The 16,027-nt window shown below is 36.7% G+C and overlaps 1 annotated feature.

Moving 5' to 3' along the window:
- Positions 15,198–15,702: an enhancer, noted in NCBI's record as "H3K27ac hESC enhancer chr5:136021270-136021774 (GRCh37/hg19 assembly coordinates)". NCBI's record gives its function as "activates a minimal SCP1, AML or CMV promoter by ChIP-STARR-seq in primed H9 embryonic stem cells {active_cell/tissue: H9 hESC(primed)}" and the evidence as "EXISTENCE:reporter gene assay evidence [ECO:0000049][PMID:30033119]".

The raw sequence follows: 16,027 nt of genomic DNA, 5'->3' as shown, positions 1-16,027 counted from the left end.
TTAGCCACTTCTTTCAGCTTCAGCAAGGTCTTACAAGAGATAAATTTAGGCTACACTGGATTCTAAGAGCATAGAGGGAAGATCATGCAGCTTTACTAAAGAAGGTCCTTTTTGCTTATGTCCTAAAACCTAAGTTGAATACAAGTCCAATAATTTGTAGATATTCAAGGTCAGAAAGGCGGAAGTCTCTTCCCCAAGCTAAAGTTAGACATTGAAGAGGCAGAAGACTTAGAAAGAGATGAAAAAGATAAGCCCTTTTCTATAAACCTGTCCCCACCACTTTCTCTCAAGTATTTTCTGTCTGACAGAGGGTATTATCATGCCCACCGGAAAGAAGTATCTGAGATGAGGCTTGGGTCAAGGAGAGGTTTACTGTAGCTAATTTTTCAAATGAGGACATTGGTTTAACTTCAGGCCATGTGGATGAACAAGACACAGTGGCAGAGAAGATATCTAACTTTGGGTACTTGAGTGCCTAATGAAATGCTTAGAAGCAAATAGACTGAAACCACTACATTTATACAGGAACTGTATTGCCAATGACAGCTCTCAGCTGGCTGACAACAGCAAACATGTTTAATTCCTAAAGCAATTCTTTGACCTTGAAATGTGTAATGTCAGGAAGAAGACTGCTGAAGCTGTGCATCCCCATCAAGGGCACATATTATCCACCAGTATACATACCATCTTGCAGTACAGACCCTCAATTTCTGTGCTGGGGGCCAGAGGTGGCCAAGGAGGAAACAGGAACAGGAGCGTTGTCCCAGAGAGAATATTCAAGGAATGTCAAGTTGGCTGGCCAAGAGTCACATCATTGCCTGGGCAGAAGGTCCTCCTCAGTTGTGTCCAGCAGCAGGATATACTAGTAGCAGGAACCACTGTGCATAGTTACCTTTCTCTCCTTTTTAAATAGAATGATTAACCCATTCCTTTTGCACAATTGAATACTGACTGGTTTGAGAATTTTTGCAATGATCTTTTAGTCATAGTAAGAGGTAGACTCTTACTATGAAGTTAATGATGTTTTGGTGTTGAAACCCCTCACTTGCATGGACCCCTTCCACAGCTCAGTGTGTTCTCCCTTGGGGCATGAGGGAACAGGATACAGAAGCTGGAGCCCTGAAGTGCTGTCCAGTGTGGGGTTTTACTCTTTACATCTAGGTGTGGTCTTGGTGCTTCAGGCAGCCAGTGGGCTATCAGCTCTACCTCCACATCTGCCTGGCTCCAAGCGAGAGCATCCCTCTGCTGGACCACATTTCAGCACCTGGAGTGTATCTTTAACCCAAAGGAGAAGTGCCTGAATCAGCGACTGCTCTGCTTCCTGCTTGAAGACCAAGGCAACCCAGGATTCACCACCTCCCGGCCATCATTGGCCTCAGGTCAAGAGTGGCGAGGCGGGGAGGAACTGGTAGTGCCACACGTCAGATTGAATTGGTTGCTAAGGAAGCTGCAGTCTGGACCGCTATACTGTGAGATTAAAGGGCTGGAATTCTCCTAAAGTTTATCTCAAAGCAGATCTGCCTGAGTAAGAAACTGCAGAGGGTGTTAAGAACTGTGGTACTAAAAATAAGGAAGGAAGTTGCAACGTTGAAAGAAACTTTCTAAACTTTCAGTAATAAAAAATAAAAACTGTATTATCTTTCTGTTCTTTCCATAGGAATTTGAATTATGAAATCATTGTCATTTGAAGAGATGATCAGCATATGCACACAAAAAATGTAGGAAAAGTGATGAGTTAGGCAATTAATTAATATAACACTTATGCAAGAATATATTCTTTTTTTCTGAATTTTTTGATGTCTGTGGTATTTGTCAGCTTTTTAAAATATATAATTTTTTGTGATTTGTTTTCTCATTCTAAGTAAATATTCCTTTTGTGTGCCAAATTTTGTGTTTATAATTTAACATTATTTTTCTTTAATACGGCCTCCCAAATTATGTGAGCTTCAGGCGCTAAAAAAAAAACAAAAAAAAAAAACAAAACAGTTTTCTCCCTGGTGCTATGTCAGCAGACAATTTAGATATGGAAGGAAGGGACTGCCCATCACCCAGAAAGACTGGATCTGAGACTGGATGAGACTAAGGAATGTCAGTATTTTATGCACGTGTCAGGATTGTTGAAATGTACATATGAGAAGATGGGTGTGTGTATGTGTTGGGAAATAAAAAAGATGATTGTGGTGAACACTATCGCTTGCTAACTCAGCACCCATTGCCCCTCTTTTCCTTCCAATATTGTTCAGATGTCTAGTTACCCCCTTGCCCGGCCCCCACCAACAAGCAGTAAACTGGCTTCATCCCACAAGCCCTGGGGTGGATGCTGATTTGTTAACAAGGATGCATGTGGCATTTCCTAGGCAACTGCTATGGTTCAAAAGGGGGCACATAAATTGACGTTGTCTATCTCAGAGAAGGGAAGGATTTTTATTCCATGCTTCAGGTGGAGTTCCCTCTCCTCCTAGATGTGAACAGAAATATTTTTCCAGTTGTAGCTGGCAGTCACCACAGCACCATGAAAGGGAACTGCGTTAGGATGAATCTGATACTGTGAATAGTAGTATGGACAGATGAAAATGCCATGCTCCATTAGGATATGATTGGACTGCCGGCTCCACGCACCCTGAAGCCTGCCTTACCACCTGACTTTCTGTTATACAAGATCAGGAATTTATTTTAAAAATCACTTGAAGTTGAGCTAATATTTCTTGCATTTAAAAGCATCTTAACCAGTACAATGTGTGGCTTCAATTCAGTTTATCAAGATTCTTGTCAGCTTGTTTTCGTCAAAATACATGACTTAGAAATTATATAATATTTACTCAAAGCACATTTAGCTAAATTAGACTTTATTTTGCTGTACCATGCATAGTGACATTTTTATCATCAAAAAACACGATTGTTAAGTTAAATAGCATGACGTTGCTTTTATAACTTGTATCTTTGAAAGAATATGCATTTCTCTCCAACTTGATAATACTGGGTGTAGTGTATCTGGTTTATTTCATATATCACTCATTTGGTCTTTGAATAAGTAATATGCCAATTGTCATTTTCATAGCACATCAAATTGCTACATACTTTAAAATGTATTTGAATGAATAATATTTGCTTTCAGAAAAAATACTAGTATCTCTGTTTTTAACTGTTTATTAATATTTATGAAACTTGTCAGAATCTAAGTGGCATCAGTAATGTTAAGAACACCCCAACAAATAGAGCTGAGGAGAGCCATGAAGAGAGGTTTCTCATGTTTGTATGCCTGATAACAAAAAAGACTCTGCAAGAACCACAACTTTACACAGAGACCATCACAATCTTAGACACAAAAAAAATACTTCTCCTAAGACATCTGCCCAACAACTGCTTGTCCAACCTCGGACTGGTATCACCATTGTTATTGATCTTTGTAGACAAGGATAGTTACGTCAAAACACTTGTGTGTCCTCCTCATTTTTCTCTTTAAAAATCTTTGTTTTCCTTTACCTCCCTGAATATGCACATAATTTACTATGGGATGCATATTCCCCATTGCAGTGCTCTCTTCCCAAATAAATACCTTTTCTTTTGGAGTGCGTCTTTCTGTTTTTTATGTTGACCTATATGTGTCAGAAACAGGACTTGAAAAAGATCACTTTCAGGATGCATTGGTGATTCTTGGACCCGCAGTGCGCTACTCACTTGAGCCCTCTGAGCTCTCTGCTTCCTTGGCTCGCCTTTTCTGCCCTGATGAGTCTTCTCTCAGGCTGAGCCTCCCTCCTTTTGGTAGATGCTTTTTAATATTATTTGGGATCTGGTTTGGATAAGGCTGACTTAATAAAGGACAATACATCCCTCCTGGGATGATAAAAGACTTTCTGTCTTTTCTGGTAAGTCCTTTCTGATACAAAAACAAGCGTCTTTCTGGATTGAGTACTCTTGATTTCTACAGAATTTGCATTCTGTTTGTGAGGCATGCCTCCTGGTGAATTTATTTTTGGTCCAGTCTGTGTACCCAGTTAAATTTTTTTTTAGATCTGTGTGCCTAGGTAAAAATTTTTGTGAACACGCTTATCTTGTCGTTTCTTTAAAAATTTGGTTAGATTATTTCTTCTTGAAAATTTTCTGAAAGCAAAAATAAACATTCTAAATAGTGGGGACAGGATGGCTAATTAAAAGCCATTAGGGTGGTTTCCTTCATCTAAAACACCAATCTAAACTCTGGACATTCCCTAACAGGATTTATAAGATTTTCTTTGCTTTTGGGAGATTAATAAGGAACAGAATGGGATTCTCAAACATTAAATCATGCCAGGTTTTTGAGGGATTCTAGTGGGCTACATATTTTGGCCCCTTCTTGCACACATTTTTTAACTAAAAGGAAAATTACATCAAGGAAAATTCAGAACTCAGATGAGCATTATTTGAAAAACCTGCAAATATAGAATTTACATGTAGAGTCTTCTAAATTGTCTGTCTACGTATTTTTTTTTTTCAGCCTACTTTGAATCTGCTCACTTTTCTACTGGTGTTGAGATAAACTAACTGCTTATGGCATTCCAGCCAGGATTAAAAAAAAGTTTTAAAGGGTTATCAAATTGATGGTTTTACAAATTGCAATAGCTCCATGGTGACCAACAACCTATACATCTTTTACAAATATAAATTTAGGTTTGCTTGTGTATGATTTATGATCATCAATTGTGTATGATTTTTCACTTAATGGAAAAATTAATAATCTAAAATAAAAACTAGATATTTATAAAAGTTAGCCTCTCAAATCAAACAGGTCAAAATCTTGAGCTTGGAGAAATAGTATAAGGTGTCTCTGTCCAGTGTAAAAATTTTGCTTCTTTTTTCATGCAAAGGTCAAAAGAAAAAAGAATAAAAAAGAAGAAGAAAGAAAAGGAAACTTTTAAAATTATTTCCTGCTAGTCAAGCAAACCAGACCAGCAAACAAAGATAGATTTGTTACTAATTCAAAGCTACTTGGAGATTTTGTTTTTCTTTTATAAATCAACCAGTCCTACCTGAAATGTAAACACTGAAAATTTAACCCTCAACTCATTAAAAACTAAGAAAAGAAAAAATACGGGGGGATGAAAGAGGTTTTTAAAAATCAAACTGCCATTGAAACTGCATTACCCAAAATTTTGGCCCACAGCCTTCTTTAGATTATCTATTGGGGCAAATAAAGTTTAACCATGTGAATAGGTCCCAGATGAGTCAGATATAATTTAGATCCAACTGTCTTTTATAAGTTGGTAAGTTTGTATTATTAACTCATGATAAACTCTAAAATGAAAGCTATATAATCTTTATATGTGTGTGTGTATATGTATTGAATGTGTCTATGCATATGTACATTGATCATGTTATACATCATGTCTACGTGGTATAATCTGGCATAATCAGCCAGAATTTTTTAAAGGTTGTGTATTTTGCCAATAACTCAGAAGATATGGCTGTTTTCATTAAACTAACAAATTAATCTTACTTATCAAAAAATTATATAAAGATCATTCTGCTTTAGGCTGGGTATATCGTTTTACAAACTTTGTATCAAACATTGACATTTAAAAATATCTAGCAAAGACAAATATAGATACTAGATCTGTTTTCAGTTACAGTTGTGGGTATGTTATTCATATAAATATTCCAAAAATTATATACATTCATAAAAATTTAATGTTATCATAATTTTGATTGTTATGTTAATTCTTTTCTAAAGTTATATTTGTATGGATATGTTATATAATGTGAGTATTCTAAAGATTATATGAAATTGGCTGGGTGCAGTGGTTCACCCCTGTAATCCCAGCACTTTGGGAGGCCGAGGCGGGCAGATCACCTGAGCTCAGGAGTTTGAGACCATCCTGGCCAACATGGTGAAACCCCATCTCTACTAAAAATACAAAAATTAGTTGCTTGTGGTGGCAGGTGCCTGTAATCACAGCTACTAGGGAGGCTGAGGCAGGAGAACTGCTTGAACCTGGGAGGTGGAGGTTGCAGTGAGCCGAGGTCCCATCACTGCACTCCAGGCTGGGTGACAAAGCAAGACTCCATCCTCTACGACCCCCCCCCCAAAAAAAAGATTATATGAAATTTATAAAAGTCTGGGAGTCTTGATGTGACACTGCCAGTCATGATTCTGCTTATCTTAAAATGCTGCAAGTAGTAGAAATAATTAAATTTCCTTGTCAGCTGAGAACTTGCATCAGATTTAAACTATGGTTATTCCAAGTTTTTGTCATCCACAGTTATTATTTTGAATTCTGCTCTAAAATCACTTGCAGTCAGCTATAAACCAAAATTCCTTTTCATGGGAAAAGACTATTAACATGTACTCTTGAACGTAGATTTGTGATAGCTTTAAGATCAATAGACTAAATAAAAATTTTTAGAATTCTAATAACGAAACGGATGGGTTCATAATACTGCTAATAAAATCAAGCAAAACAAGAAAAATTATGTGAAATTAAATAATTGATGAAGATAGCGTTTTTATGATTTATTTAAACCATTATTAGTTCTTTACTTAAGCATTTTGTTCTCCCCATTTAAGAAAATTTTCTCTCATAAGCTAGCTATAGTTTACAAGAATTTGGTAAAGTATACTCCTGTGGACCAAAAGTGGAAGCATTTGCTTTTTCTCCCTAGTTGATTCCTCCAAAATTTGGAAACTCTTTGTGGAATATTCTCATTTTTATTTACAAAAGTTCAATAAAAATCTGCTCTCTCTTTATAAGCCGTATACAATTGGAAACATTAGTTATATCACCAATGCTTTGACTGAAGTGTCATATTTAAGAATGTGCATAAAATGCGTGGCTTCAAGAGTTCCCAGCCTTACGGTAAGTGAGCAAAAATTATTACTTCCTGGCAGGCCCAAGAACCTTACGACTGTGGGTAAAATCTGAAGTCTGTGTTGGCTTGGCTTCCTAGTTTCAAGACATTTTTAAATCTGAGATTCCCATATGATCAATGTGGAGAGAAAAGTTATGTTTCTAAAGAAAATCTGTAATACACCTGTTGTTAGATTGTAGCCTTGTTAATTGTTTTCAAGTTCATGTTATCTACACGTAGACTGGATTAGTTCCTGAATTTTCCCAATATCCTCCAATATTTGGTACAATTTTCCAACTAGAAACAAAAGTTTCTCTGTTCCAAAGCCCTATAAGCTGAAACTAGACACATTTTAAGGAGCAAGCCTCATGCCTGATGTATGGACCAACAAAAAGTTCACCAAACTGCAGAATGTCATGACTAGAGACATTCAAACAAAAAAAGAGAAAAAAAGTTAATATTTTCATGCTGTAGACAGCTTTTCCTAAGTTGTTGGAACAAGATTCTGTATCATAATGAGACTTTTACCACCCCCCCACAACTTAATACTTAACTTTTCACTTGATGGGATAATGGTATAATTGAAATTTTATAATCAATAGCTTCTGCTGGTAACTTAACAGAACCTAATAAAAAATCATTTAATACATATTGGTTAAATAAGAAAATGTCTGTGCTATTGCTAATATTACGTGCTGTACCTGGATACATTCCTCTTGGAAAGATGAGACTCATATACACAAAATAAGCAAACAGGACTTACGGTTATAATAGGTCTCACCCAATTCCCTATGGTCATTTGATTTTTTCAATTGGTTGTATTTAAACATAGGTTCATGACTTAAACCATTATGTAAACTGAAACTGTCATATTATTATTAATTTCCCTTTGTATTTTCTCTTTTTAAATTTGTATCTTTTACTTGCTAAATTTTTGCAGAAGTGTAACTCCTAACAAAACAGTGCTGGCCCAGCACTTTGAGATAATAACAAAAAACTATGGGACAGACAAAATTGAACTTAATAATGGACTTCAGGAGACACTAGCCTGAAAGCCACTCCCTTAAAACCTCCTTTGTTGCTCAAATGTGGCTAAAAGGGTTTTGACACTGACTTCTATAACCAGTCACTCTCCCCAAAATAAAGCAAGATCAACAACCGGTACAGGTGTATTCCAACATGGAAGGACATCAAAACCTAACTGCAGGGTGATTGATCAGTGATGCTTTAGAAGAAAGATCCTGATCAAAAGGGTGAAAAGTGAAAGTTTTCAGAATCAAAATGGAGTCACCAATGATAAGAAACCCCCAACAAATAGAGCTGGGAAAGACCATGAAGAGAGGATTCTAATGCTTGTATACTTGATTAAAAAAAAGACTAAAATATACCATAACCTTGCACAAAGACTATCACAACCTTACACAAAAACATACTTCCGCAAGGACACCTACCCAGAAACTGTCTGTCCAACCTTGAATTGGTGTCACAAATGTTATTGATCTTTGTAGCCAAGGATAATTATTTCAAAACAATTATGTAATTCTCATTTTTTTTCTTTAAAAACCTGTGACTTCCCTACCTCCCTTAATATTCACATAGTTTACTGTGGCATGCATATTCCCATTGCAATGCTGTATTCCCAAATAAATATCTTTTTCTTTTAGAGAGCTTGTCTCTGTTATTTAGGGTTAACATATTCAAGAAAAAGAAAGCAGGCTCCATCACTGTTTCCGTAAATACATTAGAGGTAAGATTACATGTAGCAAGAGATTTAAGCAATTCACCATGTAGCTAATGATCAATTTATCTTAAATTGTTTCTGCAAAATGAAAACAGTCAGGTTCTGCAAAAGTATTCTTATCCCAGATAATCTGAGATGAGAAGAGGGAGCTGAAGACCAGAATGGTCAATGAGGTGATATGAAGGAGACATGAAAGCAAATTGCTTTCCCTGTAATTATGGCTGAACCTTTAAGACTTAGATCAGAATCCACAGGGATAACAAAATGCAGGCCCCTGTCTGGCCAAGCTGGCCAGAAAAGGTGGTGTATCAGTTTTATTCTTGAAAATTGCTAGGAATAGAAACGGTTTGTCTCAATAGCATCTGCTTCTAGGGTTGTTTTCTCTGACAGCAGAAAGATTCTATCCCATATCTCCTTGAAGTTTCTTCCTTTTTCACTATCATCTATTATCGTCTTCCTTTCTTCCAACTCAACTCCTACCTCAGTAATGAACAAGAAATTATTACAAAACTCTTTGTGTAGGGCAGTAGGTAAGTAACCCTTCTTCCTTCTGGAATAAGCAAAGCTGGAAGGTTAAGATAAGGCTGTTTCCTTACCAGTGTCTCATTTATGTCACATACAGCCACAAAGTTAGCTTCTACTCTACATGCATTTTTATGTTTTGCTTTTTTATGTTTAATATAAACATAAAAATATAAACACTTTTATGTTTTGCTTTTTTGTGTTTAATATAAACATTAAAAAGCAGATTCTGGAGTTCACATAGGGACCTGAATCTCAAGCTTAGCTATATTTTCTAATAAGTGACTTTGGGCAAGTACATAATTTCTCCTCAGTTTTCTTATCTGAAAACAGAGATAAAAGCAGTCTCTACATTACAGGATTGTTGTAATATTTAAAGGAAATGATGCATTTGTTAGTAGATCCCTTTGACACATAAGTAGCACTCAACAAATGATATAATAATTGTTATAGCAGAATATAACAGGAGCAGAATGTATATATTGATATATGTTATTATAAATAAATATAATAAAGTTATTTTATATATTACATATAACATAAATATATATATTTATTTGTTTATCTTGAGAATTAGAAAAATGCAGAATAATAGAAAGAAAAAGTCCCAATCAACCCATTTCATACCAACTTTTCACAAGTTGGCCTATCCTTAAAATTTTTTATTAAAGATTTTTTAATTACTCAAGTAAGGTATGACTACACTGTTCCTTACAAAAATTATAACATTGCAGATAAATATAAGGTCAGGGTATAACTTTCCCAACCTTAGCACTGTCACAAGTTCAGTTATATTTTCTTTTAAATCACCTTTGTTCCAACAGGTGGCCTTAGGACTCTTGATTCACTTCTCTTGTCACCTAAGGTTATTCATCCTAAGCCTCAAACCCACCAATTATTTCAAAATGCACGTAAAGTCTACTCCTGTCCTAACCTTTGCTTATACTTGGACTGTTTCTTCCCATTCCAGGATTGAAGCACATGATCATCTTAGTTTCTTTTCAAATAAACTCAATTATTTATAGATTCTGGATATTAGATCTTTGTTGGATGTATAGTTTGCAAATATTTCCTCCCATTCTGTAGGTTGCCTGTTTACTCTGTTGGTAGTTTCTTTTGCTGTGCATAAGCTCTTCAGTTTAATTAGATCCCACTTGTCAATCTTTGTTTTTGTTGCAATTGCTTTTGAGGACTTAGTCGTAAATTCTTTGCCAAGGCTCATGTCCACAATGGTGTTTCCTAGGTTTTCTTCTAAGATTCGTATAGTTTGAGGTCCTACTTTTAAATCTTTAATCCATCTTAAGCTTTTATATGGTGAAAGGTAGTGGTCCAGTTTTATTATTCTGCATATGGCTGGCCAGCTATCACAACCCCATTTATTGAATAGAAAGTCCTCTCCCTATTGCCTTTTTTTGTTGACTTTATCAAAGATCAGATGGCTGTAGGTGTGCAGCTTTATTTCTGGGTTCTCTATTCTGTTCCATTGTTCTATATGTCTGTTTTTATACCAGTACCATGCTGTTTTGGTTACTGTAGCCTTATGGTATGGTTTGAAGTTGGGTAATGTGATGCCTGTGACTTTGTTCTTTTTGCTTTGAATTGCTTTGACTATTTGGGCTCTTTGTTTGTTCCATATGAATTTTAGAATATTTTTTCTAAATCTGTGAAAAATGATGGTGGTAGTATGATAGAAATAGCATTGAATCTACAGATTGCTTTGGGCAGTATGGTCATTTTAATGATACAGATTCTTCTAATCATTGAGCATGGATGTTTTACCATTTGTTTGTGTCATCTACGACTTCTTTCAGCAGTGTTTTGTAGCTCTTGTTGTAGAGATCTTTCACTTCCTTGGTTATATGTATGCCTATGTATTTTATTTTTTGTGTGGCTATTATAAATAAAACCATTTTAATTTGGCTCTCAGCTTGAATATTATTAGTGTATAAAAATGCTGCTGATTTTCGTACATTGATCTTGGATCTTGAAACTTCACTGAAGTCATTTATTAGTTCCAGATGCCTTTTGGCAGAGTCTTCAGGGTTTTCTAGGTAGAAAATCACATAATCTGAGAAGAGAGATAGTTTGACTTCTTTTCTTCCTATTTAGATTCCTTTTATTTTTTCTCTTGCTTGATTGCTCTGGCTAGGATTTCCTGTACTATGTTGAATAGGAGTGGTGAGAATGGACATCTTTGTCTTCTTCCATTTCTCAAGAAAAATGCTTCCAGTTTTTGCCTGTTCAGTATAATGTTGGCTATGTGTTTGCAATAGATGACTTATTATTTTGAACTATGTTTCTTCAATGCCTAATTTGTTGATGGTTTTTAATCATAAAAAGTGTTAGATTTTATCAAAATGTTTTTCTGTGTCTGTTTATATGAACATATGATTTTTGTTTTTAATTCTGTTTATGTGGTGAATCACATTAATTTATATATGTTGAACCAACCTTGCATTCCAAGAATGAAGCTTATTTGATCATGATGAATTAACTTTTTGATGTGCTGCTGGATTCAATTTGCAAGTATTTTTTTGAGGATTTTTGTGTCTATGTTTACCAGGAATATTTATCTACGGTTTTCCTTTTTTGTTGTGTCTTTGTCAGACTTTGGAATCAGGGTTATACTGGCGTCAAAGAATGGGTTAGGAAGGACAACCTCCTCCTCAATTTTTTATAATACTTTCAGTAGAATTGGTACCAGCTCTTTTTTTCTTTTTCTTTTCTTTTTTTGAGATGGAGTCTCGCTCTGTCACCCAGGCTGCAGTGCAGTGGTGTGATCTCAGCTCACTGCAACCTCTGCCTCCCGGGTTCAAGCAATTCTCATGCCTCAGCCTCTCGGTAGCTGGGATTACAGGTGTGTGCCACCATGCCCAGCTAATGTTTTAGTAGAGATGGGATTTCACCATGTTGGCCAGGCTAGTCTCAAACTCCTGATCTCAAGTGATCCGCCTGCCTCAGCCACACAAAGTGCTGGGATTACAGGCATAAGCCACTTTTCCCGGCCAATACCAGCTTTTCCTTATATGTCTGGCAGAATTCAGCTGTGAATCCATGTGGTCCTGGACTTTTTTGTTGTTGATAGGTTTTTCTTATTACTGATTCAATTTTAGAACTCAATATTGATCTGTTTAGGGCTTCATTTTCTTCCTTATTCAATCTTGGGACATTGTGTGTTTCTGGTAATTTATTTATTTCCTCTAGATTTTCTAGTTTGTGTGCAAAGAGGTGTTTATAATAGTCTCTGAGGATCTTTTGTATATCTTGAGATCAGTTGTAATGTTACCTTTGTGGTTTTTGATTGTGCTCATTTGGATCTTCTCTGTTTTATTCTTTATTAATCTACTTAGTAGTCTATTGATCTTGTTATCCTTTCAAAAAACCAATTTTTGGTTTTGTTGATTCTTTGTATGGTTTTTTGGGGGTTTCAATTTTGTTTGGTTCTGCTGTGATTTCAGTTGTATATTTTCTTCTGTTAGCTTTGGAGTTAGTTTCTTTTTGTTGTTCTAGTTCCTCCAGCAGTGATATTAGATAGTTAATGTGAGATTTTCTAACTTTTTGAGGTAAGTGTTTAGTGCTATAAACTTTCCTCTTAACATTGCTTTTGCTACATCCCAGAGATTTTTGGTATGTTGTGTCTTCATTTTTATTTATTTCAAAGAATTTTTTTATTTCTGCCTTAATTTTGTTGTTAATCCAAAGTCATTCCGGAGCACATTGTTTAGTTTCTGTGTAATTGTGTGGTTTTGTGAGATCTTGGTATTGATTTCTATTTTTATTTCGCTGTGATCTGAGAGTATGGTTGGTATGATTTCTACACATTTTAATTTATTGAGTCTTGTTACATGGCCAATCATATGGTCAATCTTGGATTATGTTCCATGTGCAGATGAGAAAATGTATATTCTGTGGTTGATAGCTGGCATATTCTGTAGACATCGGCTAAGTCCAATGGGTTAAGTATATAATTTAAGTCCAGAATTTCTTTGTTGGTTTTCTGCCTTGATGATTTCTCTAACACTGTTAGTGGGGTGTTTATGTCTCCTACTATTACTGTGTGTCTGTGTAAGTCTTTTTATATAACTAGAAGTACTGATCTTATGAATCTGGGTGCATATATATTCAAGGTATTTAAGTCTTCTTGTTGAATTGAACCCTTTATTATTAGTAAGGCCCTTCTTTGTTCTTTTCTACTGTTGCTGGTCTAAAGCCTGTTTTATCTGATATAAGAATAGTGAACCCTGCTCTCTTTTATTTTCCATTTGAGTGGTAGATATTTCTCCAGCCCTTTACTTTGAGCCTATGGGTGTCATTATGTGTGAGATGTCTTCTCTTGAAGACAGCAGATGGATAGATCTTGTTTTTTATTTAACTTGTCACTCTGTACCTCTTTAGTGGGTTATTTAGATCATTTACATTCAAGGTTAATATTAATATGTGATGTTTCCATCCTAGGTGAAGTTGTTAGCTGGTTGGTTTGTAGCTTCTATTGTGTGGTTGTTTTATAGGGTCTGTGGGCTATGTACTTAAGTGTGTTTTTGTGGTAGCAAGTATTGTTTTTTTGTTTCTATGTTTAGACCTCCCTTAAGAATCTCTTGTAAGGCTGGTTCAGTGGTAACAAATTCCCTTAGCACTTGCTTGTCTGAAAATATTCCACTTTTCCTTAGCTTTATAAAGATTAGTTTGGAAGGATATGAAATTCTTGGTCGGAATTTCTTGTCTTCAAGAATGCCAAAAATAGGCCCCTAATCTCTTCTGACTTGTAAGGTATCTATTGAGAAGTTCACTGTTAGCCTGATGGAATTCCCTTTGTACGTGATCTGACCTTTTACTGTAGCTGCTGTTAAGATTTTTTTCTTTAGCATTGACATTGAACAATCAGTTCACTATATGCCCTGTTGATGTTTGTATTGTATAGTATCTCACAGGCATTCTCTGAATTTATTATATCTAGCAAGATAAGGAATATTTTCTTGAATTATATTCTCAAATATGTTTTCCAGGTTGTTTAGTTTTTCTCCTTCTCTCTCAGGAATGCCAATAGTTCTTAGGTTTTGTTGCTTTACATAATTCCATATTTCTTGAAGGCTTTGTTTATTTAACCAATTTTTTTTTCTTTATTTGTGTTTTATTTGGCTAGTTCAAAAGACCAGTCTTTAAACTCTGAGATTCTACCTTCTGCTTGGCCCAGTGTATTGCTAAAACTTTCAATTGTATTTTGAAATTTCCCAAGTGAGTTTTCTAATTCAAGGAGCTCTTACTGATTTCTTTTTAAGATCTCTTCCTTCATTTCCTGTATTGCTTTAGAAGTTTCTTTGTGTTGATTTTCAACCTTGTCTTGGATCTCATTGTGATTCCTGGCAATCCATTCTTTGAATTCTTTATCTGCTATTTCTGAGTTTCCATTTTGGCTAAGGACCATTGTTGGAGAGCTTTGGTGATGTTACTACATTCAGATTTTTTATGGTGCCAGAATTCTTGCACTTCCTCCTTCTCATCTGGAGATGTTGTCACTTTCTAATTTTTGCAATTATTTTGGTGTAGGTAGAATATTTTATTTTTTTCTCTATAATATTATTCTGTTATTTTCTTTTTCCTTTCATCCTTTTCCTAGGGGATATGACTGTAAAGAATTCTGGGTAGGGTCTTTTGGCTTTGCCTCTATAGCCCTATATACTTCTTTTGGCAGATTTTATATTGTGCTATGCAGTTTGACCTACAAGCCAGTAGATGGCACTTATAGGTAAGAGCCAGCTACAGCCAATGTGGCTGGGTATACACTTGATCGTTGTTTACTGGGAGAAGCTTTCTGTTGCCTTGGGCAATGAGCTGATTCATGGAATGCACAGAGGTCTGAGTTTCATGCTCAGCCCTTGGGGAGTGGGATCCAAGTTGGGTGGGGCTGGACTGGGCAGGTCTGCTTATAGATTCCCTGATGACAACCACAAGCACAAGCACTGAGAGGTAATCCAGTGGGCAGCCACCAAGCACCCAGAAGTGTGCCTAGGTGTGGAGATAGGAAATCCCTTCAGACCCAGCTTCTCAGGATGTTTATGGAGGGCAGCCTAAACTCCTAATTCAAGAAAGAGGGTGTTCCACATGCCTGGATGTGGAGCAAAGAGGACTCCCCTGCACCAAGATCACTGCACATGAAGAGTAGAGCAGCTCAGGCTGCTATTCCAGGTGAGTGAGCACTCCAAATGCCTGGAGATCTGCCTGAGCATGGAACAGAGAGGGCCCCCCTGCACCAAGATATCTGCACAAGAAAAATGGGGTAGCTCAAGCTGCCAATCTGGGCAAGCAGATGCTTTGAATGCCTAGAGATCTGCCTAAGCACGGGGTAGAGAGGGCCCAGATGTACCACAATCTATGCATAGGAAAGGTGGGGTAGATCAGGCAGCTGATCCAGGTTAGCAGGTACTCTGAAATCCTGGAGATCTGCATGGGTGTGGAGTGGAGATGGTCTCACTGTACCACAATCTCAGGGAAGTAGACTGGGCACTCAGCAATGACACATGCAGACCAGTCCCAGGTTGCCAAGCTGGCCCTAGCTGCAAGTCTCATCACCCCGGAGAAACCATAGTTGTGGCAGCTCTCCTCTTGTCCCAGGACTGCAATGGAGGAGAGCACAATTCTCATGCCTATTACTGAGGTGCTTTCCACAGTTCTGTCTGTGGAGTCCTTACTCTATTCCAAAGCAGGCACTCCAATCTCTGGCCCAAGATTAAAATGCCTGCATGACCATGGTGCTAGGTCTCCAAAGAATGGCTGATTTGTATGTACCCAGATTAAAAATGGTTTCTTGCTCTTGTTCCTGGATCTGCAAAAATGTCTGCAGCTTTTCCCAGTGTCGTACCCTTACAGCACCTCCAAGTCTCTCCCCAGGTTAGCTTCAGGGTTTGGGAGAAGCAAAGTGCTCTGCCTCAGCTGGGTTGCTTGGAT

The sequence above is a fragment of the Homo sapiens genome, chromosome 5 (genome assembly GCF_000001405.40).
Source record: "Homo sapiens chromosome 5, GRCh38.p14 Primary Assembly".
Classification (NCBI taxonomy): Eukaryota; Metazoa; Chordata; class Mammalia; order Primates; family Hominidae; genus Homo; species Homo sapiens.
This window is presented reverse-complemented; position numbering and strand designations above follow the sequence as displayed.